Raw genomic sequence first — 27,390 nt, forward strand, 5'->3', positions numbered from 1 at the left:
GTGTGTGTGTGTGTGTGTGTGTGTTTGTCTTACCTTATTGGCCCAAGCTTTTGGTATTCTTGCTTAATCACCTCAGCACAAGCTTTTTGTTGGACTGTTTTGGTTTTGCCACATTTGAACATCTCCTTAAAACTGCAAAGAATAATTAAGCCTGTAAGCAAGAAATTCTTTTACTACCACCTCCCTGTAAGGAAGATATTTTTGTAAAACGTTGTCATCTTCACGCAATATGAATCTCCCTTCATGCAATATGAATCTCCCCGTTAATAACAGATATCTGTGCTTTTCACCTCTACCTCCACCTCCTTTTTTGAATGTTTTCTGTCTTTTCTGTTTTTGCCTGGTTTGCTCACTTTTTCGTGTTCAATTTTCATTGCATATTTTCCATGACATCCTTTACCAATCTCTTCCTTTTTCCAAGTTATTTTGTACCATTGGAATTTTGCCATGTGCCACTTATCTCTAACTAACATTTTATTACGTACTGGATCTTATATATTTAAAATGTATTTATTGTGTATCTTGGTTGTTAATTCTTCCACGCATGTAAGTTTTAGCCCACTAGTTAAATTATTTGAGGGCAAGGACAGTGAGGTGGTCATAGATGTTTCCTTTGGCCTGCTATCTCTGAACACTGCTACCTCTGAACATACACAGTAAATACCTGACACATCAATCCAATAGTACCTTTGGCAAATGTATGAGACAGTTGGGGTCAGATCCATCAATTTTCACAAAGTATGCTAAACTCGAGTTTTACACTAGTGCAGGGACTGATCATGGTCAGAGACTAAACTAAGCCTAGTCTTAGAAGTAAAATAAACTCACCATAAATACCATTTGACCCAGCAATCCCATTACTTGGTATATACCCAAAGGAATATAAATCATTCTGTTTTAATGATACATGCATACATATGTTCACTGCAGCACTATTCACAATAGCAAAGACATGGAATCAACCCAAATTCCCATCAATGATAGACTGGATAAATAAAATGTGGTACATATACACTATGGAATACTATGCAGCCAAAACAAGGAACAAGATCATGTCCTTTGCAGGGACATGGATGGAGCTGGAATTCATTATCCTCAGCAAACTAACACAGTAACAGAAAACCAAACACCACATGTTCTCACTCATAAGTGGGAGCTGAACAAGGAGAACACATGGAACCAGGGAGAAGAACAACACACACTGGGGCCTGTCAGGGGTGTGGAGGGAGGGAGAGCATCAAGATAAACAGGTAATGCATGTGGGGCTTAATACCTAGGTGATGGGTTGATAGGTGCAACAAACCATCATGGCACACGTTTGCCTACATAACAAACCTGCACATCCTGCACATGTATCATGGAACTTAAGATAAAATTTAAAAAAGAAGTAAAACTCTATTACATTTTTTTCTTTAAGTTTCTTTACTCATATGTCCTAATAGCACCCACAACATAATTTTCCTGTTTATTTCCAATAGTAACTGCCACTTTTTATTGTTTTCAGCTGCTTGTTTTAGTGACCTCCTTCCTCACTAATTTTCTGTCTTGAAGTCCAGTGTCTTCGAAACTGAACAGTTTTTGTGAAATACTGTTCTAGATGGAGACTTTTAAAAAAATTCCTCCAGAGGAAGAACTAAATGAAAAAATGGCTAGATTCTTATGGATTATCTCTTGGAATGTTTATGAGCAGCTCAGTTAGTTTACATTTTGTGTAAGTATAGACAGAAAGGACATTTTCTTTCGTAAAGTATCTGGGGCAAGCCTATACATTCATAATCACCTTCATGCATACACTTCAATGCCTGAATATGAGTGAATGGACAGTGCTACATTTATGATCAATTAGGAAATAATTGCTTTTTACAATCTCAGTTAAATTACTGACTAGTGCCAGTCTCAAACTTTTACCCCTTGTCATGACATAAATACTATTATAAGAAACTAATTAATGTGCCACCTAGAGAGCAATCTGTAGAAGAGAAAATCATAGTAAAGAAGGAGATGAGTCTCCTTAGAAACAATTTTCCACCCAGTACATTGCATATATAGTTTATCATTTTGGTTGCAGACAATAAATAGTTAAGTCGAAAGCCAAATTGGCATTGCTACAAATGAAGGTTAATGCCTTCACAAAGCTACTGACAAAGCCTATGACAATGCATCAAACTCTCCATTTAAATAATTGAATGGCACTGACAGATGAGCTCCTCTTCTCAGGTATGTTGGGATCATTTATAATGGGTGAGTTAACTGTGTTAATACCCAACATACTAATCAGAATGTATGCTAGTTTGCCAGGGGAGCGGCTGATAATTTCCGTCTGTCAATCTAAAATCTCTGGAGGTAAACACCTTGGCAGACAGAAAAGGACACTGAAAAATTAGCTGGAGCATGAATCTGTGCAGTGTTTAACAGATAGTGGACACCAAGGGAACTGTTTAAACATACCACTCATCATGATTTACAGACTTTGCCTAGTGTATGCACTTCATGGGATTTTTTTCCTCATTAAGAGCACATTTCAATATATTTGCCTTTTATCTTCTTAATTTCTCCTTTTTAAATGGTGTGCCATTTTAAAATAATGACAATGGTTGCATATATGTTTGATAAAGTCATTAAATGTAGCAATGAAGAACCTGTGACTCTTTTGACTTGGGATTGCCATCTCCTGTATCCTGCATTGCTACCTGCATGATTGAATAGTCCCCAAAGGCTTGGATTTCCTGAAAGGGGCACTTAGTATGCAGCTGGCCTCTCCCCATTGATGCCCACCTGCTGAAATCAGTGACATTTTACACATTTGCTTCAGCAGGAGGACTGCCACATGCTGCTCCCACAATCTGGATAGAATTATCTTTTTAATCATCAGTACCATCTTCTCACTACTAATAAAACCATGGCAGTTCTGGAGAAAAAGCAGAAAGAGGAATCAAGAGGGGAGAATGTCAGTCCTCGTATTACTAGGCATGGAACCCATGGCCACAGGCATGGAACCACTACTGATTTCAGCATTTTTCTTTTCTTTTCTTTTCTTTTGAGACAGACTTTTGCTCTTGTCACACAGGTTGGAGTGCAATGGTGCGATCTCGGCTCACTGCAACCTCCGCCTCCCAGGTTCAAGTGATTCTCCTGCCTCAGCCTCCTGAGTAGCTGGGATTACAGGCACCTGCCACCACGCCCAGCTAATTTTTGTATTTTTAGTAGAGAAGGGGTTTCACAATGTTGGCCAGGCTGGTCTCTAACTGCTGACCTCAGGAGATCCACTCCCCTGGCCTCCCAAAGCATTTCACTTTTCAAAGGAAGTACACATAGCTGGCTTCAGTCTCTCTGGTTTGGTGAATAACATGCTGTTTTATTCATAGGTCCTTGAAATTATTTAAATAAAACCCCACAAAAATAAATTTGAGCTGTTTTGTTTTTCAGGAAAAAAAATACTCAAGATTTGATATACAGCGACTTCACCTTTCTTTAAGGAGTATTGTTAAATGAGTAGAATTTACAGGCTGCATTTTAGATTTTGCTCTGGAGCCCTTCATAATTTTAAATGCTGGTTGTCATCTAAGTTATGTAACTCATTGGTACTTATGACCTACCAGCTTTGATCCCAGCCAAGATAATATGTTGAAGTTGTCTTTGAATGCATGTATTTGACATTTTAGTGGCATCAGTCGGTCTTTATTGGTCAACATTTTTTTTTTTACTTTGACTTCTATGTGTTCAACTTAGGCCCAGATGTGTTAGAATTATAGCCTTGGAAGGGATCTTACTGATTTTCTGGGTAAATTCTATCATCTTACAATTGAAGACACTGAGACTGAGAATGGGTCTGGACTTGCAATGATCTCTTATCTGGCCTCTGAGAAGCCAGAATTTTATTCCTGGTCTACTAATTCCTAAAACAATATTCTTTCCACAGAGAACATCCTCAGATCTTTATTGTACTTGGTATATTGAAAGGGATGTCAATTTTGGTGCTAGCATGATGCAGGAAGCCCTATAGGTCACAGTGTAAGTAGCTTGATAACCCAAGGAAATCTCCACATTAAACCAAGTGGAGGGGCAAACCTTAAAATTCCCCTTTAACAAGTTGGACATCAGATTGAGTTATTTATGCCCTTCAATATCTTATCATCTTAGGACTCAAAGGACACTTAGATTATTTGTTTTCTAATCTTTATTTTTATTTATTTATTTATTTATTTGAGACAAGAGTCTCGCTCTGTCATCCAGGCTGGAGTGCAATGGCGAGATCTTGGCTCACTGCAACCTCCGCCTCCCGGGTTCAAGCAATTCTCCTTCCTCGGCCTCCTGAGTAGCTGGGACTACCCGCCACACCTGGCTATTTTTTGTGTTTTTTTTAGTAGAGATGGGATTTCACCATGTTGACCAGGATTGTGTCGATATCCTGACCACGTGATCCAACTGCCTTGATCTCCCAAAGTGCTGGGATTACAGGTGTGAGCCACTGTGCCTGGCCCTAATCTTTATTTTTATTCATTTTATTTTTTGAGACCGTTCTCTGTCGCCCAGGCTGTAGTGCAGTGGTGTGATCTCAGCTCACTGCCACCTCCACCCCGCAAGCTCAAGCAATCCTTCCACCTCAGCCTCTTGAGTAGCTGGGACCAGAGGCGCACACCACCATGCCTGGATGGTCCTTTTAGGGGGGAGGTTTTTTTTGTTGTTTTGTTTGTTGATTGGTTTTTTGTTTGTTTTTGGTAGAGACAGAGTTTTGCCATATTGTCCAGGCTGCTCTTGAACTCAGAGAGGATTGCGCAAGCAATCCTCCCACCTTGGCCTTTCAAAGTGCTGGGATTATAGGCATGAGCCACCGCAGCTGGCCCCTTTCTAATCTTTAATTAACTGTTCCACAGCCAGTATTATTTAAATGAGATTCAACCTTATCCTTAAAATACGTATTTGTGTGTATTAATTTTGTGAGCAACAAAAATGCAGAAAGGTAGCCTGCATGGCATAGGGGAAAGAGCATCGGATAAGAAGCTAAGAACTGGGAACCTAGACACCTTTATTTAGCCTATTAACATGAAATATTTACTTACTTGAATCCTAGGAAAAGCCACTGAAGCCAGATCCAGGATAAGAGTAGAATGATAAGGGCAGCTGGGAAGGAAAACGTAAACCATGATCCAAAGTTGAGGCAACGACAGTCAGGATAGCGTCTGTGTGAAAACATGGAGACGTGTTCAGGGATGGAGAGACAGGTGGAATCCTTTCTGATTGTCACAGGGAAGCAGCAGTCCACCTCTTTCCTGTGTTTCTGTCCAAGAAGGAAGTCCTGGAATATACTCATCATTAAATAGAGTACTTTTACCCCTTGTCTCCTGTCTTGATTCTGGAACTGCATAATTATCACTGCATCCCATATAAGCAAGAGTGGATGTGTTTTGATTTTTGTTCTCTATATTTCATCTTTAAGGAAGTGCTTGTGGAAAAAACCCAGTGCAGTTCTTGGCTTTAATGAGTATTAAATGCACAAGAAATGGGTGTTCATGAGGTATTTGCGTTTTGTTGTCAATACTCCATCAGTATATGAACAAGGAAAGACACATAAGCAGAAATGGGAACAGGTGAAAATTAGTGGGACTGAATGTCTGTTCCCATTTCACCTTGGTGGCTGGAATTCTTGGCCATGTGAAAGTACTCTGATCCAGCCTAGGTCATCTCCCATGGCTGTTTTCCTTTCTGTTTCTTCTACCCCAAAGCACAGCAACCATCGAACCAGGTATATGGTAGCTCTTTCTTCCTAGAACCAGGTGGTGCTTTGGGGCACAGTCAAATGGAGTAACTCTGAGCCAGATAAAAATAATTAAAAGTTCTGAAGAAATCAACAACTTTTCTTTTTTATCTTACCTACTTATTTTCAACTTTTAAACTCACATAATAACTCAACAACAACAACAACATAAGATCAGACACTAGCACAGTTTCTTTGGTAACCTCACATTCATTGTTCTAAAATGTCTAATACTAAATAAATTCTTATATAGTCATTTATTTTATTACTATGGAGAAACAATAGGAAATTTGAGAAACAGTTGTCTTTACTTTTTTTCTAAAAGCAATAACATAAAGATAAATTTGAAAATCTGAAAAACAAAGATATACAGAAGTAATAAAAACATCATTAACATATTTTAATATGTTTGAAGTCATAAAATATGTAGAACTTTATAGAAATATTGATTTGCAATTTTTTCTATTTTAATCATACTTTGTACTTTGTCATTTAAAAATCACATAAGTAATAAAATATTTCATGTTATATCTATGTAGCAAATTTATACACTTTAGAGTGTTTCTTTTTCTACTTTAAGATGGTTCCTAATAATAATGGGCCCTCAAAACTCTAGATTTCTAAGGTTTTCTATCATTTTCTTTGAGCTTATGAAAAGCTATTAATCTCCCTAGGCCCTAGAATTATCTTTAGCAACTGGAGGATAATTTTTATCTACCTTGAAGAGATCCAAAGATTAGCTTACATATTTATGCAATTAGAAAGTGACAAATGATAATTAAAGATGTTAGAAAATGTGCAGTGTGATGAATGGAAAAATACTTTATCACATCCATGAGGCTCTATTGAAAACTGTTCATTTTTGAAAAATGTTTGTTGTCTCCAATTGGAAAATAAAGTAATGGGAGAAAAGCTGATTTCCCATTAACATTAGACTTGGATTACAGGATGACCTATGTTATTCTGTACAACCTAACGACACTCAGAAATGCTGCTTGGATTAGGTTTAGACCCATGTCCTCAAGCCTAATTTCACTTTTCACCATCTGTGGCTCATATCTTGAAATCAGTATGCAGAGCTCTCTCTACCCACTGGAGAGAATCCTGCAAAATGTATTTGACTGAAGATGGGCTTTTCAGAATTTTTGCCTGGAGGAATAGTTTTAGAAAAATGAAAGCCTGAAAAAGTTAAACTTCATTGTTATGTTTTGTTTAGTTTAATAGTATGGAAGTATATAAACAACCACATGGGACTATGCCTCTATAATCATAACCTTTACCCTTATACCTAGAGTGAATATTTTGGACAAATAAAGAAATATATGGCATACTCTAAGCATTTTCTTTTGCTGTGATGTTCCTTTTCCCACTCTTTCTCATGTCCTGCAAGTGAAGAGACTTCAAACATGCATCTAAAGCAAATACAGATTTCTTCTGTCATGAACTATGCTAAGACACTTAATTCTGATGAAATCCTTTTCTTTTACCTAACACTGTTTGGTATCTACCAAGTGCCAGGTGCTCTCCAAGCTACTGGGGACATAGTGGTGAATGAGATTGACCTGGTCTGGGCTTTCATGAACTTTATGTTAAAGTGGGGCACACAGGCAATAAACAGGTAAACATATAACAAAATAGGAAATAAAGCAGAATAATGTAATAAAAAGTGATTGGGGAAGGGGGAAATTTTACGTAATGCCATCAGAGAAGGTAACATTTTAGATGAGACCTAAATAGCAAGAAGGAGCCAGTCATGTGAATAACTGGGAAACAGCATTCCAGACGGAGGAAATAGCAATTACAAAGTCCTTGAGTTAGGAATGAGTTTGTCACATTTGTGGAGAGATAGGAGGCCACTGTGGCTGTGGGTAATGAGTGAAGGTGAGTGTGACATGAAAGAAGTAGTCAATATGGATCAGATCATGTATAACCTTGTAGCCAGTCCGAAAGTATGCGGATTTTATTACAAATGCAATAAGGACTAATTGGAACGTAGTAAGTTAGTAACGTGACATGATCTAATTAGTAATTGACATAAAACAGAATGGCTCCTGGATGCATTCTCAGGATTGAAGGCAACAAGAGTGGAAACTGTGTGATGTTCAGGATGTGGTAGACAGAGTTCCAAGATATGCCTCAAATTTCTGCCTCCTGGTGTACATGCCTTGTACGATCTCCTCTTCTGTGTGGATGGAATCTGTGAATATGATGAGATATCACTCCTGTGATTAGGTTGCGTAGTGAAAAAAGTGAAGGGATTTTACTTAGGTAATCAAAGTCCCTAGCAATTGAAACTGAGTTAATCAAAAGCACGAACTATCCCGGGTAGGCCTAACTTAATCAGGTGAGCCCTTAAAAGAGAGTTTCCTGCTGGCCTGAAGAAGCAAACATCCTGTTGTCAGAGGAAGGGGCCCTGTAGCAAGGGCCTGAAGGCAGCCTTTAGAAGCTGAGAGTGACCCCATGCCAACAGCCAGCAAGAAAATGGACACCTCAGTAATTAAACTGCAAGGAACCAAATTCTACTGACAACATCAATGAGCTTGGAGGAATACCCTGAGCCCCTGTCTAGGTTACAGGCCCAGTTGCCACCCTGCTGTCAGCCTGGTAAGATCCTGAGCAGGAACCCAGCTAACCTTTGCCTGGAGTCTTTTTAAAAAAAATTCTTAAAATTTTTAATTTTTGTGGGTACATAGTTGGTGTATATATGTATGGGGTACATGAGATGTTTTGATACAGGCATTCAATGTGTAATAATCAGATCATAGAAATGGGGTTATCCATCCTCTCAAGCATTTATCCTTTATGTTACAAACAATCCAATTATACTCTTTTAGTTATTTTTAAATGTACAATTAAATTATTATTAACTATAGTCACCCTGTTGTCCTATCAAATACTAGGTCTTATTCATTCTTTCTGCCAATTTTGTACCCATTAACCATCCCCACCTTTCAGCCCACACCCTATTATCCTTCCCAGTCTTTGGTCACCATTCTTCTACTGTCTATCACCATTAGTTCATTTGTTTTAATTTTAGATCCCACAAATCAGTGAGAACATGTAATGTCTTTCTGGACCTGGTTTATTTCACTTAACATACTGACTTCCACTTCCATTTATGTTGTTGCAAATGACAGGATCTCATTCTTTTTTATGGCTAAACAGTATTCCATTGTGTATGTGTACCACATTTTCTTCATCCATCCGTTGATAGGCACTTAGGTTGCATCCAAATCATGGCTATTATTAATATACACAGCATTGCAACAAACATGGGAGTGCAGATATACCTTCCAAATACTGATTTTCTTTCTTTTGGGTATATACCCTGCAGTGGGATTGCTGAATCACATGGTAGCTTTATTTTAGTTTTTGAGGAACTTCCAAACTGTTCTCTATAGTGGTTGTACTAATAATTTACATTCCTACCAACAGTGTATGAGGGTTTCCTTTTCTCTACATCCCTGCCAGCATTTGTTATTGCCTGTCTTTTGGATAAAAGCCATTTTACCTGGGGTGAGATGATATCTCTTTGTAGTTTTGATTTACATTTCTCTGATGATCAGTGATGTTGCATGCTTTTTCATATGCCTGTTTGCCATTTGTATGTCTTATTTTGAGAAATATCCAAATATTTTGCCCATTTTTAATTGTATTATTAGATTTTTCCATATAGAGTTGTTTAAGCTCCTTATATATTTTGGTTATTAATACTTCGTTAGATGGAAAACTTGCAAATATTTTCTCTCATTCCGTGGATTTATCTATTCATGTTGTTGATTGTTTCCTTTGCTGTGCAGAAGCTTATTAACTTGATGTGATGCTATTTGTCCATTTTTGCTTTGGTTGCCTGGGCTTGTGGGGTATTATTCAAGAAATTTTTGCCCAGACCTATGTAGTAGAGAGTTTAACCGATGTTTTCTTGTAGTAGTTTCATAGTTTGAGGTCTTAGCTTAAGTGTTTAATTTATTTTGATTTCATTTTTGTTTATGGCAAGAAATAAGGGCCTAGTTTTATTCTTCTACATATGGATATCCAGAGTTCCCAGCACCATTTATGGAAAAGACTGCCTTTCCCCAGTGTATATTCTTGACTCCTTTGTCGAAAATGAGTTCACTGTAGGTGTATGGATTTGCTTCTGGGTTCTCTATTCTGTTCCATTGGTCTATGTGTCTGTTTATATACCAGTACCATGCTGTCTTGATTACTATAGCTCTGCAGTGTAATTAGAAGTCATGTAATGTGATTCTTACAGTTTTGATCTTTTTGCTAAAGATAGCTTTGGCTATTCTGGTTCTTTTGTTGTTCCATATAAATTTTAGGATTTTTTTTTTCTATTTCTGTGAAGAATGTCATTGGCATTGTCACAGGGATTGCCTTGAATCTGTAGATTGCTTTGAGTAGTATGAACCTTTTAATAATATTGATTCTTATCCATGAACATGAAATATCTTTCCATTTTTGGTGTCCTATTCAATTTCTTTCATCCATGTTTTATAGTTTATATTACAGAGATCTATCACTTCTTTCATTAAGTTAATTCTTAGGTACTTAGTTTTATTTGTGGCTGTCATAAATGGAATTACTTTTTTGATTTCTTTTTCTGATTATTCACTGTTGGTATATACAAATGCTACTGATTTTTGTTTGTTGATTTTATATCCTGCAACTTTACTGAATTTGTTTATCAGTTCTAACAGTTTTTTGGTGGAGTCTTTCATTTTTTCCAAATATCAGATCATATCATCAGCAAACAAGGATACTTTGACTTTTTCCTTTCCAATTTGGGTGCCTTTTTAACTTTCTCTTGTCTGATTGCTCTAGCTAGAACTTCCAGTACTATGTTGAATAACAGTGTTGAAAGTGGGCATCATTTTCATGCTGCAGATCTTAGAGAAAAATCTTTCGGTTTTTTTACCCATTCAGTATAATACTAGCTGTGGGTCTGTTATCTGTCGTATACAGCTTCTTTTTTTAAAAAAAATTGTTAAGGTATTTTCCTTCTTTACAAATTTTTTGAGGGTTTTATTGTGAAGGGATGTTGAATTTTATGAAATGCTTTTTCAGCATAAATTAAAATGATCATATAGTTTTGGTCCTTCCTTTTGTTGTTATGATGTATTATTACATTCATTTATTTGCATATGTTGACACATCTTTGCAACCCAGGGATAAATGCCATTTGGTCATGATGAATGATCTTTTTCATGTATTTGTTGAATTCAGTTTGTTAGTATTTTGTTGAGGATTTTTGCATCAATATTCATAAGGGATATTTCTCTGTAGTTTCCTTTGTTTATGTGTCTTTGTCTGGTTTTGGTACCAAGGTAATACTGGACTCATAGCGTTTGAAAGTATTCCCTCCTATATTTTTGGAATAGTTTGAGTAGGATTGATATTATTTCTCCTTTAAATATTTGGAAGGATTCAGCAGTGAAGCCATTGGGTCCCAGGCTTTTCTTTACTGGAAGAATTTTATTATGGCTTCAATCTCATTACTTGTTATTAGTTTGTTCAGGTTTTGGATTTCCTCATGGTTCAATCTTGGTAGATTGTACATGGCTAGGAATTTGTCCATTTCTTCTAGGTTTTCTAATTTATTGGCATATAGCTGCTCATAGTCACTACTAATGATCCTTTGAATTTCTGCAGTATCAGCTATAATTACTCCTTTTTCATCTCTGATTTTAAATATTTGGATCTTTTCTCTTGCTTTCTTAGTCTGGCTAAAGATTTGCCAATTTTGTTTAACTTTTTAAAAAAAGAAAAGTTTTCATTGATTTTTTTGGTATTGTTTTCTTTATTTCAATTTAACTTAATTCTACTCTGATATTTTCTTCTACTAACTTTGGGTTTGGTTTGCTCTTGCTTTTCTCATTCTTTAAGATGCATCGTTAGGTTATTTGAAGTTTTTCTTTTTTTTTCTGATGTAGGCACTTAGAGCTATAAACTTCCCTCTTGGTACTGTTTTTTGCTGTATTCCATAGATTTTGATATGTTGTGTTTCCATTAACATCTGTTTCAAAAAATTTTTCAATTTCCTTCTGAATTTCTTTATTGACCCAGTGGTCATTCAGGAGCATATTGTTTAATTTTCATATGCTTTTATAGTTTCCAAAATTCCTCTTGTATTTGATTATTAGCTTTATTCTATTGTGGTTAGAGAAGATGTTTGATATTATTTCAATTTTTTGAATGTTTTAAGACTCCTTTTGTGACCTAACATATGGTCTATCCTTGAGAATGGTCCATGTGCTGAGGAAAAGAATGTGTATACTGCAGCCATTTGATGAAATGTTCTGTAAATATCTATTAGATCCATTTGGCCTGTAGTACAGATTAAGTCCAATGTTTCTTTGTTGATTTTCTGTTTGGAAGGTCCATCTAATGCTGAAGGTGGGGTGTTGAAGTCTTTAGCTATTATTGTATTGAGGTCTCTTTCTCTCTCTCTCTCCCTCTCTCTCTAGCTCTAATAGTATCTGCTTTATATACCTGGGAGCTCCCATGTTGGTTGCATATATATTTACAACTGTTATATCCTCTTGCTGGATTGACTTCTTTATCATTATATAGTGACCTTCTTTGTCTCTTCTTATACTTTTTGTCATGAAATCTATTTTGCCTGATATGAGTATAGTGACTCCTGCTCCTTTTTGGTTTCCATTGGCATGGAATATATTTTTCTATCTCTTTATTTTCAGTCAACTTATGTCTTTGTTGGGTAAGTGTGTTTCTTGTAGGCAACTGTCCAATAGATCTTGTTTTTTATCCATGTAACCACTCTATGTCTTTGGATTGGAGAGTTTAGTCCACTTACATTCAATGTTACTATTGATAAGTAAGGACTTACTCTTGCCATTTTGTTATTATTTTCTGGTTGTTTTGTGGTCTTTTCTTCCTTTTATCTCTACTTCCTTCAATAAAAGGAAGCTTTTAGTGAAGGTGAGTTTCTCTAGTGATATGGTTTAGTTTCTTGCTTTTTATTTTTCATGTATAGGGTAAGGCTTGATGTTCTAATGTACTGTGGCTCAGCTAGCACTCAAACCACAAGACATAGTCTTTCCCACTCTCCCACCCCTTTCCAAAGGCAGTGAAAGCTCACCCCGTGTCCACTGCCACCACAGATCCATGGGGAGCATTGCCAAACTACCACTGATGTTCCCTTAAGGTCCGAGGGCTCTTCAGTCAGCTTGTGTGAATACTGCCTGGCCTGGGACTCACCTTTCAGGGCAGAGGACTCCCCCTCCTTCCCAGGACAGGTCCATAAATGCCATCCAAGAGCCAAGTCAAGGAATCAGAGACCTTAAGAACCTGCATGGTGCTCTACACCGCTGTGGCCAAGCTGGCACCTAAAGTGCAAGCCAAAGTCCTCTTTAGTTTTCCCTCTGCTTTTGTTAAGCAGGAGTCTCAACCCACAGCCACCACAGCTAAGAATGCACTGATTCTCACCTGAAGCCAGCAACTCTTAGAGTCTCTACAGTCTCACCCAAAGCTCTTGATGTAACTCCTGAGTCTTGCTTTCAGGGGCAAGAACTTTTTTTTTTTTTTTTTGATGGAGGCTGGAGTGCAGTAGCGCGATCTTGGCTCACCACAACCTCTGCCTCCCAAATTCAAGCGATTCTCCTGCCTCAGCCTCCTGAGTAGCTGGGACTACAGATATGTGCCACCATGCCCGGCTAATTTTTGTATTTTTAAGTAAAGATGGGGTTTCACTATGTTGGCCAGGCTGGTTTTGAGCTCCTGACCTCTTGATCTGCCCTCCTCGGCCTCCCAAAGTGCTGGGATTACAGTCGTGAGCCACCGCACCCGGCTGACGAAGAGCTCTTTAGTTAGCAGGTGATGCAACCTCCCAGGCTTGGTCTTTTTCTTCAGAACAACAGATTTCATTCTGGCCCAGGGTGTGTCTAGAAATGTCGTCCTAAAGCTAGAGCCTGGAAAGGGGGCCAGTGCCCTAACTTGCTGTGGCTGAGCTGGTATCCAAGATGCAAGACAAAGTCCTCTCCACTCTTCCCTCTCCTCTCGTCTCCTCTCCTCGAGCAGTAGGAAGGAGTCTTTTTTTGGAGCTGCAATCTGTGCAACCTGGAGTTAGTGAAGAGGGATATGAGGACTCCCTTAGCTGCCCTGTCTTTTGTCCCAGTAGACTACATTCCCCCCACACAAGTCCTCTGGCTCAAGGCACAGTTCAGCACTAGAAGATGTCTAGGAGTTGTAGTTTTTGTGCCCTAGACTTCCTTTCAGAGTTATTTTTGGCCCCAGAACACTTTAGCCCGCAGTGGTGAGGGTTGTGGGAAGTCAAGTTCCAACTGCTGGGATGGGCACTTCTTCTCTGGCTACAGCTGGTTTAAATGCTCCCTTGGTGTGTGGGCTGAGTTTATTCCTGTTTTTCTTTCTGCTATGACAGGACAGCATTGATTTCAATGACTTACAATTGCTGGGCTCCTCCTCTCCCCACAGCACAAGAATGCTCTCTGCAACATGCTGCCACTGCCAGGGAATGAGGGAGGGGCAGCATCTGTGATTTTACACTGTTTTCTCTACCTCTTCAGTGCCTCTTTCAATGATATGAAATTAAAAGGAGCTACTGTGAGTGCTCACCTGATTTTTGGTCCTTATGAAGGTGCTTTTCTGTATGTAGATAGATGTTAAATTGGTGTCCTTGCACGGGGTACTATCCATGGAGCCCTGTATTCCACCATCTTGCTCTGCCCCTTTCTTCCTGAACTGTTGACCCACAAAAATAATGAGATAATAAATGTGTGCTGTGTTAAGCCACTAAGTTGATTGCCATTTGTAAGGTAGCAGTAGAAGAGGAATACACAGGGAAACCTATTACAAGATAAAGTCCCTCGGAAGTAGGGTAGAGTGGAGTAGATTTTAGTTTACATGTGAAGATAAACAGAAGGCAAGATATTTTAGATATATTTGGAATAAAACCTAGGAAATGGAGAAAAGATGTCATATGTTGAAATGGTGAAGTCTGAGGGGAGGTTGGATTGGCAGGAGGGCAGGGGAGAGGTGGCAGATCAAGCATGCTGTTTTGGGATGTGATGATTTGAGATGTCCCTCAGTTTTTGAAGTGGTCATGTTGGAATGCAGCTGGATAAGTAAGTCTGAAATTCAGAGGAAAGGGCAGGGATAGAGATAAAAAATTGGTAGTTATCAGCACATAGGTGGTATTACAAACATAGAAATGGGTCTGATCATTTAAGCAGTAATGGAGATTTAGAAGAGAAACTGAAGTGCTTCTCTTGGGGCACTGTAAGTTTTAGAGGTTAGGTAGAAATGAGCAGATGAGCTAAGCACTTTTAATTTTATCAAAAATCCTGTGAAAAAAGCATTAAATTTTTATTTTACACAGGAATAAACTGAGTCTTAGGGGGCTAAGTGGATTTCTCAAAGTCAGATTGTGTAGTCAAACTGGATTTTTAACCCAGGAGGAGTTTAAAACACAACCTCTGTTCATTAAACCATTACATCCTCAATTTTAGCTCCCAGGTAAAAAGAGAAAATGCCACATATATTACAAAACATCCGCAGGCTGGAGTACAAACTTTATGTTTTCTTGGCACTTTAAAACAATTGTAGAAATGATGCCCCATAACACGGAGATGTGCTTTGACCTAAAGCACATTTACACGTCAAGGTTGACTCTTAGGAAGAGTCATTGTCACTGCAAGTAACTTACATGTTATATGCAACTTATGCCCCACTGCAAAACAAATAACTTTAATACCCATGAAATACTCAGAACATAGCTTCAAAAGAATGAATGTAGTCTTGGAAATTTATAACCTTGGAACAGATTTTGGGCATTAAGTGTCATAGTATGCTACTATAGATACTATAATTGCACACCAATTATAGACCTTTTGACTGATGACAGTTTTGATTATCTCTGAGATAAAGCTACTTTTCCATTTTGTGTGTGTGTACTTCCAGAGGATTTTCCTCAAAATATTAACTATTTATCATTCATGATCCAGGCTGAGATTTTTAACAGCCATGGCAAAAGTAGAGCAGTGGCAATAACAACAGCTAACATTATTGACAAGTTACTATGTGCCAGACCCTCTGCTAGAGCCACATGTGCATTATGGCATTTAATTAATTCAATAATGTTGTAAGTTCTAGTATCATCCCCATTTTACAGAAAAGGAAACTGATAGTCACAGAAGTTAAGCTAATATATGGTGAGCTTGAAATCTGAATTGAGGTCTAAGTCCAAACTCTGCCGTGTCAAAATTTCTTCCATAGTATTTACCATATTGCAATCTTACAGAGTAATATGAATTACTTGACTGTATCAACTAATTTCATGTGAATGATGGAAACCAGCAGTTCTCTAATATCAACAAAGATGAAGCATAAGAATTCGGTCTGGATATTAGAAAAAGAAATTCACAGACAGGAACTAAGATGTGGAATCCCTTCTCTTGGAGAATTCATGAGAAAGGATATAAGTCATTTTCAAAAAGATGTCAGGTGCATTTCTTGTCTTAAATTAGGGGATACATTGGATAAATCCTCACTGGTACTGTGAGTTTCAGAAGCCTCTCATTTATAAACCAAAAACCTTTTAAAGTTTTCTAAGTCAGTAATTGGAGTGTAGATAATGGATGTGTATTCATAGAAACAATACTCTTGGAGGTCTGTGTAATATTGATCCTAAACTCCTATACCAGTGTTCGTTGAACACAAACACCCATTCTTTCTAGAATGGAGATTGACATTCTTTGAGTCTTGTATTTCTTAGAGAATCCGTGCATGCACAACATTTTGCAAATAATTTCAGAAAATTCATAGAGTCTATGAATCTACTTCACAGAGAGTAGTTTTCCTGCCTCTAAACTCTAATTTTTCTGTGAACCCAAATCCTGTTCCTAGGCTTTCTCAATTGTGTCTGTCTTCTTGAAATTCTGATTATTATCTGTTCTTTTAGTAGAACCAGTCTGAGTGCACATATGACACCATGGACTTTCATACTATTGTTTCAATGATACTTACATAGCGCAAAATATTTTTACATAGTTTACTTCATTGAATTCTCACAATAACCCTATCAACTGTGACTATTTTACATATGAAAAAATTAAGTCTTGGGAGAATCATGGACCTTTTTGTTGTTAAATTCATAATGTGGCCGGGTGCAGGGGCTCATGCCTATAATCCTAGCACTTTGGGAGGCCAAGGCAGGTGGATCACTTGAGATCAGGAGTTTGAGACCAGCCTGGCCAACATGGCAAAACCCCGTGTCTACTAAAAGTACAAAAATTAGCTGGGTATTACGGTGCATGCCTGTAATCCCAGCTACTCGGGAGGCTGAGGCACGACAATCACTTGGCAAAAGTTGCAGTGAGCTGAGATCGCACCACTGTCCTCCAGCCTGGGCAGCAGAGTGAGACCCTGTCTCAGAAAAATAAATAAGTAAGTAAAATAATTCACAATGTAAGTACCTGCAAATTGAGGATTTTTTAACCCAAGTGTTCTACCTGTTGAATCCACAGATTCCCATTTCTGCAATGGAATTGTCATCACAGTTCCAAACATATTAACAGTCATATATCTGTTTGTAGAATACTTTATTACTGACACTTATTACAATTGTTCAATCTTTCAAATCTTTTTTGAATTCCAAAGCCAAGCCTTCCAAAATTAATACCTCTGTTCACCATTCATTACTTAAGTTCACATGTTGGTCCCCAAACCCTACATAAATTGTCCCAAGAAAATAATTCCTTTTCACTTTAGTTAACTACCATTTGTGGTATTATTTTCAATGAAAAATGTTTTTCCTGTTTGTTAAGGGTGGTCAGCCAAGAGTTATCCCCTCTGAGCTGACCTGGGAAATCTGTTGGCACAAGTTAATTCAGTATTCCCTGAATATTTAATTCTCAGTATAAAGGAAGGTCTGTAGATCTATAGATGTCCTGAAGGGAAACAAGGGAGAGTTAACATAACATCTCTGTACTTGAATTCTCTGAATCAGGTAAGAATAATTTTTATAATTTTTGTGCTGCCCTTATGTTAAATCACCAATCCAATAAGGTTACTTACGTATTGAAATACTCTGCAAAGATCAAGTTGGTGGAGGTACCAGTGATTGTTGTCAGTCCACCAATGGTAGAAGAGTAGGCAATGCACAAACACGTAAGTTTACGTGTCACGTGGCCCTTCTTTGTTCGATATTTGGTTCTCATGCCTGAGTTCTGTTCAACAACAACAAAAAACTACCATGAGAACTGCTCTATATTTGTTATGGACTGAATATTTGTGTCCCACCACCCGCACCAATTCATATGTTGAAACCCTAACTCCTGATGTGATTGTATTTGGCAATGGGGCATTTGGAAGATACTGTACCTTCCTTTGAGGATGTGGCCCTGGTCTGATAGGATTATGTCATTATAAGAGGACACATGAGAGAGCTTGATTCCTCTCTCTCTCTCTCTCTCTCTCTCTGCTATGGAAAAAGCCACAAGAAGGCATCTGTCTGCAATGCCAGGAGAGAGCCCTCACCAGACACTGACCCTGCCAGACCCTGATCCAATCTTCAGAACTGCAAGAAATAAATTTTTATTGTTTAAGCCACTTAGTCTGTGGTGTTTTGTTATGGTGATATGAGCTGACTAATATAGCATTTATCTTTCCATCAATAGAGATGTAGCAATAAAAGTATTTAAGCTGAAGCCACTGAAATATTTTAAAAACCCAATTTCATTCATTTCTTCATCCTTCTTTCTTGTCTCTTACCCAACTCTTCCCCCATGTCTTTCCTTCTCACCACTACTCCCAAAGCTTTTCATTATTTTTCTGTTGATACTGGTGGTACATACTCAATAAGTCCCTAAACTTCTTTAAGAAGGGTTTCCCCATCTACACACCTTAATGGATGGTTCCCAGGGGATATTACTCCTGAAGTGGAATGTTTTCAACACCATATACCTCAGCATTGAGAGATAAGTCAGTGTCCTCTTTGCTCCCACTGTCTATTCCAGAACATTAATCCTCCACTCACACAAAAAATAAATCCATTTTTTTTAAGGATCATGTAACTTGGATATCTCTTTCTCTCCCCATTCCTTTGACCATTATATTTTGATCTCCTGGTCACCCACTGTCATTTAAGATAACATTTGCACTCAGCACTTAATCATCTTCCTTAGTCCAAATCTTGTCAGTGACTGAATGACTACACTATGTTCATGAATAGCCCTTCAAATATCCTGGCCTCACAGATTTTTTATCTCATTTCCAACGATTTTCAGTTCTCCACCTCAGTCACCCCACCCCCATAGTTATACCTTGGACAATGGCACATCCTGAAATGGTTTCACTTGGGGAATCACTAGTCCAAATGTAAGTGTTTTATTTAAGAGATGACTTTCTAGGGTGTAAGCCAAAAGCAACTTCATTCTTTTTCTCACCCATGACCCTGTAAACACCCTTTGTTGGTTTGATTCTTCCTCTTCCTGTGGCGAAATTCAAAGAAGAACCAATAACTTTTCCGGTCATTTCATTTAATGAATGGTTTTTCAGTTATGTTTAGTCAGGAGAATAGCTTCATTTCAGTAGTTAAACAGTGCCCTATTTAATAAGAAAAATCCCAAATTTTAAACTTAAGCATTCTCTTATCCCCTAGATCAGGCCTGCTTGAAAACCCATAGCTGGAAGGAGGTTTGTGAGTTTGACTTTCTCTTTCTCTCCTAGTTCCAATTCTTCTCACCACTTGCTACACTCAGTTTTTAAACCTTCAACATTTGGAATGTCAAGAGAAGAACAGGATCAGGAGAGGAGTGGTAAGGATTAGGAGAAGTCTTATTTGACTGTGTATTAATTTTAAAATGGTATTAGTACTTTCCAGGCATGGTGAATTTTTGAAATGACTCCATCTGGTGGGCAATTTTATGAGATTTTATGAGACTCCTATTATCCAAATAAGAACATCAGATTGTTGTTCTTTCTATGTAGGTAACACACATCTTCTGCCTGGTGACGTATGACACACTCATGGTGTCTGCATGTGATAGTCTACCTGGTCTCTTTATGTTGAAATCCACTTATGCTGTCAAAAATCCCTTCTGGAGGAAGTTGCCTTTCAAATGATCCCACATGACACTCCTCCCACATGTTTCCTACATATGGTCCAAGGGAAACAGTCACCTCTGTCCTGTTGTCAGTGACAGTGCAGCTGAAACTTGATTAGGTAAAGAAATTCAGCCACGAGTTTTTACTTTATAATTTTTCAAGAATGTGTCAAACACTAATCCGTTGACCTTTTCTAAGTCTAAGGTGGTAGATAGCAAGTTCTCCAAGTAGTAGTTTCTTAACGTCTATCTCACCTTGTTAAGTAGGAGACTCTTCCCTTCTTTCGACTGTGATGGTACAAGTGGCAGGGGGTTGGGGCACTGGGGAAATACTCCAACTTTCTCCATAAGCAGACTGTCTCTCAGCCTTCTCATTTTAAACACTAAGTTTAAGAGTCTAAAGCTGTTTTTTGGTCACCTCACTTGCAAGTACTGTGGAAATGAAATGCAAAAATACCTAAGTGTGTGCTTGATATTATAGTTACTCAGGGGTAGAAAGAGTATCATTTTACCATCCTGGTTATCAAGAAATTGGCACAGTTATCACAGTTTCTTCTTCCAACTTTGCTGTTGAATTAATTCTATCTCTACAGTCCTTCAACTGCACTGGCAAATCTAAGTCAATAAAGTATGTAGTTATGCCCAGTTATGGTCCTCTCCTTTCTTTACTTCCATCCTTATTCAGTTTAGATTCCATGGTACACCATTTCAATAAATTTTCTTAAAAAAACTCCAAACTCTCTTTCTTGTCTTTTCTTGAATGGTAGTTCTTTATGAAAATTCCAACTGATTTATAAACCCAACCATTCTCTCTCTCCATGTCATGTCTGCTTCTGAGTAGCCAGCTACTGTTGTTAAAAATTACATGCACAGTAGAGCAGATGGGATCATTCATGATCACAAACATCCAGTGCTGTAATGATGTTGCTCCTCTACCCTACTGTGTTTGCATAACCAAATTACTCTACCTCTTTCCACAAGGAAATATAAAACCTTCTTTATTATCTCTATACGTCCCTCTTAATGGTCCTTCTCAGTCTTTACAAGTAGCTTTGCCTCCTACTTCACAGAGAAAATAGAAGCCAGCAGACAATGGTATCACTGTGAAATGTAGAAACCTACTTGCATTTGCCCCATCTTCCTGTTCTCTACATAATTAATAGAGTCAATGTTTCTCCTCCAACTTCTTGTTTCTGGACCACAGTCTCTCAGATTTTCTCAGAAACCTTCCACTACAGACTATTGGAATTTTCATCAACATTTAATTATTTTTGAGCCATCCTTACAGAAGAAAAACAAGAAAGACTTCTTAACCCTCCTTTCAAGTAAACTATTGTCCTAACTCCATTTTCACAGCCAAACTACTCGAAAGAGTTGTTTACATTCACTGACTCCATTTTCTTAGACACTTCCATCTTGCTTGTCTCCTCATTCCACCCACAATGCACTTCCTGTGATTATCAGTAATCCCCTCAGTGCTAAGTTCAATAGGAACCTTTCAATCTCAACTTTGTAGTCCCCTTAGCAAGCATCTAAAAGAGTTTATCTCTTCTTTTTACTGAAAAAACTCTGCTTTGGGTTTCTGTGATATCTCACTCTTTGGATTTTTCTATCTCTGCCTGTTTTTCTGTCTCCCTTGCCAGTTATTTTGCCTTCCATCCTTCCTTAAAACTGGAATTTCTTTAAGCTGTCACAGGCCCTTGTCTCTCCTCACTCTAATGTTTCTCCTTTAAAAATATCTTATTTTTATTGATTTAATGACTATTTTTATGCCAGATCACCAAACTTCTGTCTTCAGCCAGGCTCCTCCATCTAGACCCATGTATCCAATTGCCTGTTCAACATAATTTGAGGGCCAGGCACAGTGGCTCATTCCTGGAATCTCAGCACTTTGGGAAGCCGAGGCAGGTGGATCACTTGAGGTCAGGAATTCTAGACCAGCCTGGCCAACATGGTGAAACCCTGTCTCTACTAAAAATACAAAAATTAACCATGCTTGGTTGCAGGCACCTGTAATCCCCACTACTTGGGAGGCTGAGGAAGGAGAATTTCTTGAACCTGGGAGGCAGAGGTTGCAGTGAGTCAAGATTGCATCACTGCACTCCACACTCCAGCCTGAGCAATAGAGCAAGACCCGTCTCAAAACAAAACAAAACTATATATATATATTTGAATATATGTGTGTGTGTGTGTGTGTGTATATATATATATATATGTATATGTATAATATCTTCAATAAAACTCCAATCTGAAAATGTTCAGGACCAAGGCTATTACTTCTTTTGTCAAACCTAGTTTGTCAGGATCACTTATATAAGCTGATGTCATCACCATCACTATAACAACAAACACTTATAGTGTCCTTAGCATGTAATAAGCACTGTCCAAGTTAAAATCAATTAAATGTTTTAATTCATTTACGTCTTACAATACAATGAGGTGGGTAAAATTATGATGTCATTTTATAAATAAAAGACATAGAGAAGTTAAGTGAATTGTTCGAGGTCCCAGAGCCTGAAAATGACAGACTTGGGTTTTGAAACCATGCAGTCTTGCTTTAGAGCTCATACTCTCAGCCACTTTGCTGTAATGTATTGCTTGTCCTCCTCAAAAACATTATCTTCCTCATCCCGTCAAATTCTGTCAATTGTATCTACTGAAATATGCCTGGACTCTGTTCAATTTTCTCCACCTCCACTGTTGTCACCCTGGTCTCAGTCAACATTATCTCTGGCCTAGGTTAATGAAATAGTGTGTTTATAGATCTTCTTGCATCAACTCTTGCCTGTTACAGACTCATTCTACAGACTGCAGCCTACAAAATCTGAAAGATTTTGTAATCTAAAAGATTACAAGAATCTAAATGTAGTTAAGGAATATATAAACACTTATTATCTTTTGTCTTCTTGTGTTTGTGTATTTCTTAAATACATTTGTACATATTTTTTAGGCTGCTGTGTATAGGAGAGTTCTGAAATAGGCAAGAATTAATGCAAGCACAACCATAAAAGGATTGTTACAGTAACTCAGGCCACATTTTCTTTATCCATTCATCATCTATCAAGGGACACTTAAGTTGTTCCCATATCTTGGCTATTGTGAATAATGCTGCAATGAATATGGGGAAGCAGATATATCTTTGACATACTGATTTCATTTTGGGGGTACATATATCCAGAAGTGAGTTTGCTGGATCACATGGTACTTCTATTTTTTTTCTAATTTTTTAAGGAATCTCTATATTGTTTTTCATAATGGTTGCACTAATTTACATTGCTAGTAACATTGTACAAGGGTTCTCCCTTCTCCAGGATGAACAGAAGAAATGCCATCTTCCATACAGATAAACATGCTATTTGAGACATTATTAAAATATCTTTTTGAAAAGTTGTGATAAGGAAAAAATTACTACTCACTAAAAGTCATCATAGATATGAAAATGGCATTTAGCATGGCAGAGTCAGGTGCATTGGACTGTAATTTACCTTTTACTTTCTAATTAACTTTAAGGTCAGCCCACAAAGGACTCTACGCTTCACCCAAAATAAACTAATTTACAAACGTCTCCCTTTCCCTTATATTTTATACATAGAAATCATTTGTATTTTCTATATGATAAAACATTCCATTGAAATTTGACACAAAATAAGTGGTATGTAAATAAGATAGGGAAATAAGTTTAAAAATTCTTATGAGTCATACAAAGTGGCAATTGAAATTTGAGGCTTAACATTAAATAGTTTACTATAGGAAAGACTTCAAACACAAACCAGAAAGTGATGCATAATTTGAATATTATTAAATTGATAATAAGAATGGAAACTTAAAATATGCAATGTTTATATGATTTCCCTTTGCCACCTTAAAACTTTCAAAAATATAAATAAAGAAAAAATTGGATTTCATATAAAAGCTTAACTGTAAATATATGCATATATATAGAATTATTAAAAGACACTGGATGATATAAAACAAAAAAATCAAAACAGAAACAGGTTAATATGTTTGCCATGCTTTATGCCTTATGAATTAACCACACATTTTTTATTAATAAGGACCTTTAAAATATACATTATTGCTACTGCACATGAGCTGATGTTTATGCAAATATCATCAACAATTTATAAAGGCATTAAAATTCAGGGTAAAAATTCTACAGTAAATGCTAACACTAATATATCATAATGCAAATTAAAGGTTAAGAGGAGGAGTTTTTGAAGTGGAATGGTGAATGCACCATTTTTTTAATCTAGCCAGTAAACATGAGCTCCATGCATTCAGATTTATCATTATTTTTACCGAGTGCTTGTGTTCGCTGGGCTGAACACAGAAGAGATGATACTGAAGTAAAGGGTAAAGCATGAGGACTAGAGGGACAGTAGCAGAGGGCACTGAGCTGAAAAATAGGGCTCTTAAGAAAGCCTGATATGAGCCACTAAATGAGCCAACTAGTGGTACAGAAATTATACAAAGGGGGCAGGTATCACAGCAGATTAATCTTTAGTCTTCTGCCTAGATAGTAGTTTCAGCCTATGGCCACAGGACATTGTCACAGGTATATTATGAATGGAAAAGTACTTGTGTTATATAAGGATATTTATGTGAAGTGAAAAGTACAAAATGATGTAAAATTTTAAAACAAAAAATATTTCTACATATACACATGTGCCTGAAATGAAACATATATATATGTGGCTGAAGTAAAATATATCAAAATATTAAGGATAGTTATTTCTTAATCATGAGCTTAGTGGTATCTTCCACCTTCTTGATACTTTTTGTAACTTTTATTGCCAGAAATAAGTTTTTTTAACATATAAAGGAATTATAGACTATTAGGGCAGACAGGTAGTTAGAGATTATATGGTGTAAAGACCTAATATTTCAGAAGTGCAAAATGAGTCTCAAGTGTGACCCAGCTGATTACTACAGACTTGAAAGCAGAATCCATGTCTGTGAGTTCTCTCTCAGTGAATTTCCCCTGTACCAACTTGCCTTCCAGAATACTTTACTTCTATGAATTTTTAAAACTACATTTGAGTTCCATTTCATACTGCTTTTACCACAATGGTAACCTATTGTGTTTTTATTCAATCCCTTCTGTCTACCATACATGTGGAGTATGCCTTCCACATCTTCTTCCAAGTAACTGAAAAATTTCCTATGAGGACATGACCGAATGCAGAATCCAATGACATCATCACAGTGGACCTGTCACAACAGAAATCCTGCAGGTCCAGATGTAACTCACTATTGCCACCTGGTGGCAACGATTGCAGATTTCTTTCACAGCTTCCTTCACTGAATACGTATACTTTGTATCATCCTCCAATTATGGCTCTGTCATAATGTTGCTTATAGTACAGACTTCACATTTTCAATATGTTGCCTAGAGCTCTATTAACAGCTAGAAATATGATATACATTACTTTTCCTGCCCCTTCTGTAAGTTAGAATATGTCTTTTCCTTCTTTTACTTGCTTATTTTTTAAAGTACCTACTACTGAATCAGTCCCAAATATTCCCTGGTTGCTTAAACATTCTCTCAGAACAATCAAGTGATAGGATACCTAATTCACATCAATATTCTGCCAATTTTATTGTCTTGATGACATCTCTTTCAGGGCCTCCTTTCCTGTCCCAAACCTAGTTATTTTTTCTCTAGAACTGCAAAGAGCTATCTAGACTTAAGTCTTCCCTCTTATTTCATCAAAAGTCTGACTGGATATTGACTCTAGGTTGGAAATAAATGTTACTTAGAATTTTGAAGGCAGTTTTTCTGCTGTCTCTGAGTAGTGCTGCTGGGGAGAAGTATTCAGTCATTCATATTTTTGATCCTTTGTAAGGAATTAGTGTTTCTTCCTTTTTGAGAGCTTTTAGGGTCATCTTATAGTATTCTGAAAACTCAAAGATTTTAAAACAGACCTGCCCTGTGTGGGTCTGCTTCATTCATTTTGATGACATTTAGTGAGTCCTTTAATCATAAAACTTGTACTCTTCCATTGTAGAAACTTTCTTGAATTTTTAATATACTCTTCTCTTTTTTCCTATTCTTTTTTGGAAACTCCTCTTATTTCCTGTTTATTCTGTTTCTTTCTGTTTTGTCTACTGAATTTTCCATTTATGCTTTTATATCTCTATATTTTACATTTATACTTTATTTTATATTTACATATTTTGTATTTTTGCCTTCTTGATTCTCTTTTATAGAATACTATTTGTATTTGTATTTCATAAATACAAGTAATATATTTGTTTGCCTCTCTGATTATATTAATGATATTTTCTTTTTTATAGTCTCTTCTTCTTGCATAGTCTCTGTTTCCCGCAAATTGCTCTTTTTTCTTTTTATTTATTTGGCAATCTCTCTTTCATAATTGAGGCTTTCATCAGATATCCAGGAATTTTTGGTTGTCTGCTCACATTTCAGGCGGTGAATATTTGTGTAGAAGCTCTGCACTCGTATTTTGGGATTTGTTGTTGCCTGTAAGCTTCACTGTAATGTCATCTGACTTGGCCTTTTTTTGAGAAAATTCTAAGGTCAATGTTTTCATCTCTCTTAACGCTGATTGTGTTCTCCAAGGAAGCATCATCTGGCCTTCTGCCTGCTGACACCCGAAAGGCATAGACTTGGCTCCTGGACCAGTGTAGGTAGAAGGCCGGGTTCTCCATTTTCAACTTGTAAGCTATCGCTCAGTACCCCTGTTTTCCTTGTGACACCCTCCCCCAGCCCAGAACTGGATCTGGTTCTCCTTATCCCGTTTTACCTTGTCTGAAGATCATATTTCTGTTTGGTGGATTAGAAGCTGTTGCATCCATGTGGATTTGAGGAAGAAAGTAGAAGATTTAACTGCTTCACAAGCAATTTTTTCTTCCTCCTGCTTTTCAGCATTTTAAAAATGTTGAAGCCTGCTGCTATGGAAATTGAATTGTTTATTGGCTTTTTTCATTACCGATTTAGGATTCAGCTTCCATGGGATTACTGGGGATAATGGGGTTATTTTCCACTCATCTTTTTACTTTCCAGCTTCCAAAATGATTTTGCTGTCATGTCTTCTCTTGATGTTTATATAATTTGGATTATATTTGAAAGTCTATTTGTTCTTGTTTTAATGAAGACTTAGAAAAGTGGTAACAAATGGGCCTATTTAACCTGCCATCTTAATGGAAGATGCAATATTTATCTTTTTACATTTCAAAATTAAAGAAATAAATATTTACTAATAATTAATGCCCACTTTTGACCTTGGTGCTTTCGTGGTCCATATGTTGGTAGATGATGTAACTAAAAAGGGAACAGGAGAGTGGAAGTTCCATAGTGCACAGAGGAATTGAGACAGTGGGAACCTGTCCTTTTGGTCTGCATGTTGAGTTTAAAGATCCTCAGTTAAGTTAATAACAGATTATGTTATTTAATTAAACCAGCCTTCCTACAGTGTTCTAATGGTTTAAAATGTCTATAAGAAGATTATTTCTGTAAAGAAATTTTTTTTATAATGGATTCTTTATTAGACGAAGCTCTGATCACAATAGTTGATCCCTTTAGTTTTC

At 37.2% G+C, this 27,390-nt stretch overlaps 1 protein-coding gene across 10 annotated transcripts in view; it reads right to left on the reverse strand.

Moving 5' to 3' along the window:
* SLC13A1 (solute carrier family 13 member 1) overlaps positions 1-27,390 on the reverse strand; it is an 86,441-nt gene that overhangs the window by 15,819 nt on the left and 43,232 nt on the right. For 4 of the 10 annotated variants that reach the window (XM_047420754.1, XM_011516516.4, XM_011516515.4 and 1 more), the window contains 4 exons: positions 19,057-19,224; positions 17,810-17,961; positions 5,061-5,180; positions 34-132 (listed from right to left, as the gene is read on the reverse strand). In XM_047420754.1, coding sequence (XP_047276710.1) covers positions 34-132; positions 5,061-5,180; positions 17,810-17,961; positions 19,057-19,224 — 539 coding nt within the window. 10 annotated transcript variants of the gene reach the window in all.

This window comes from Homo sapiens, chromosome 7 (genome assembly GCF_000001405.40).
Source record: "Homo sapiens chromosome 7, GRCh38.p14 Primary Assembly".
Classification (NCBI taxonomy): Eukaryota; Metazoa; Chordata; class Mammalia; order Primates; family Hominidae; genus Homo; species Homo sapiens.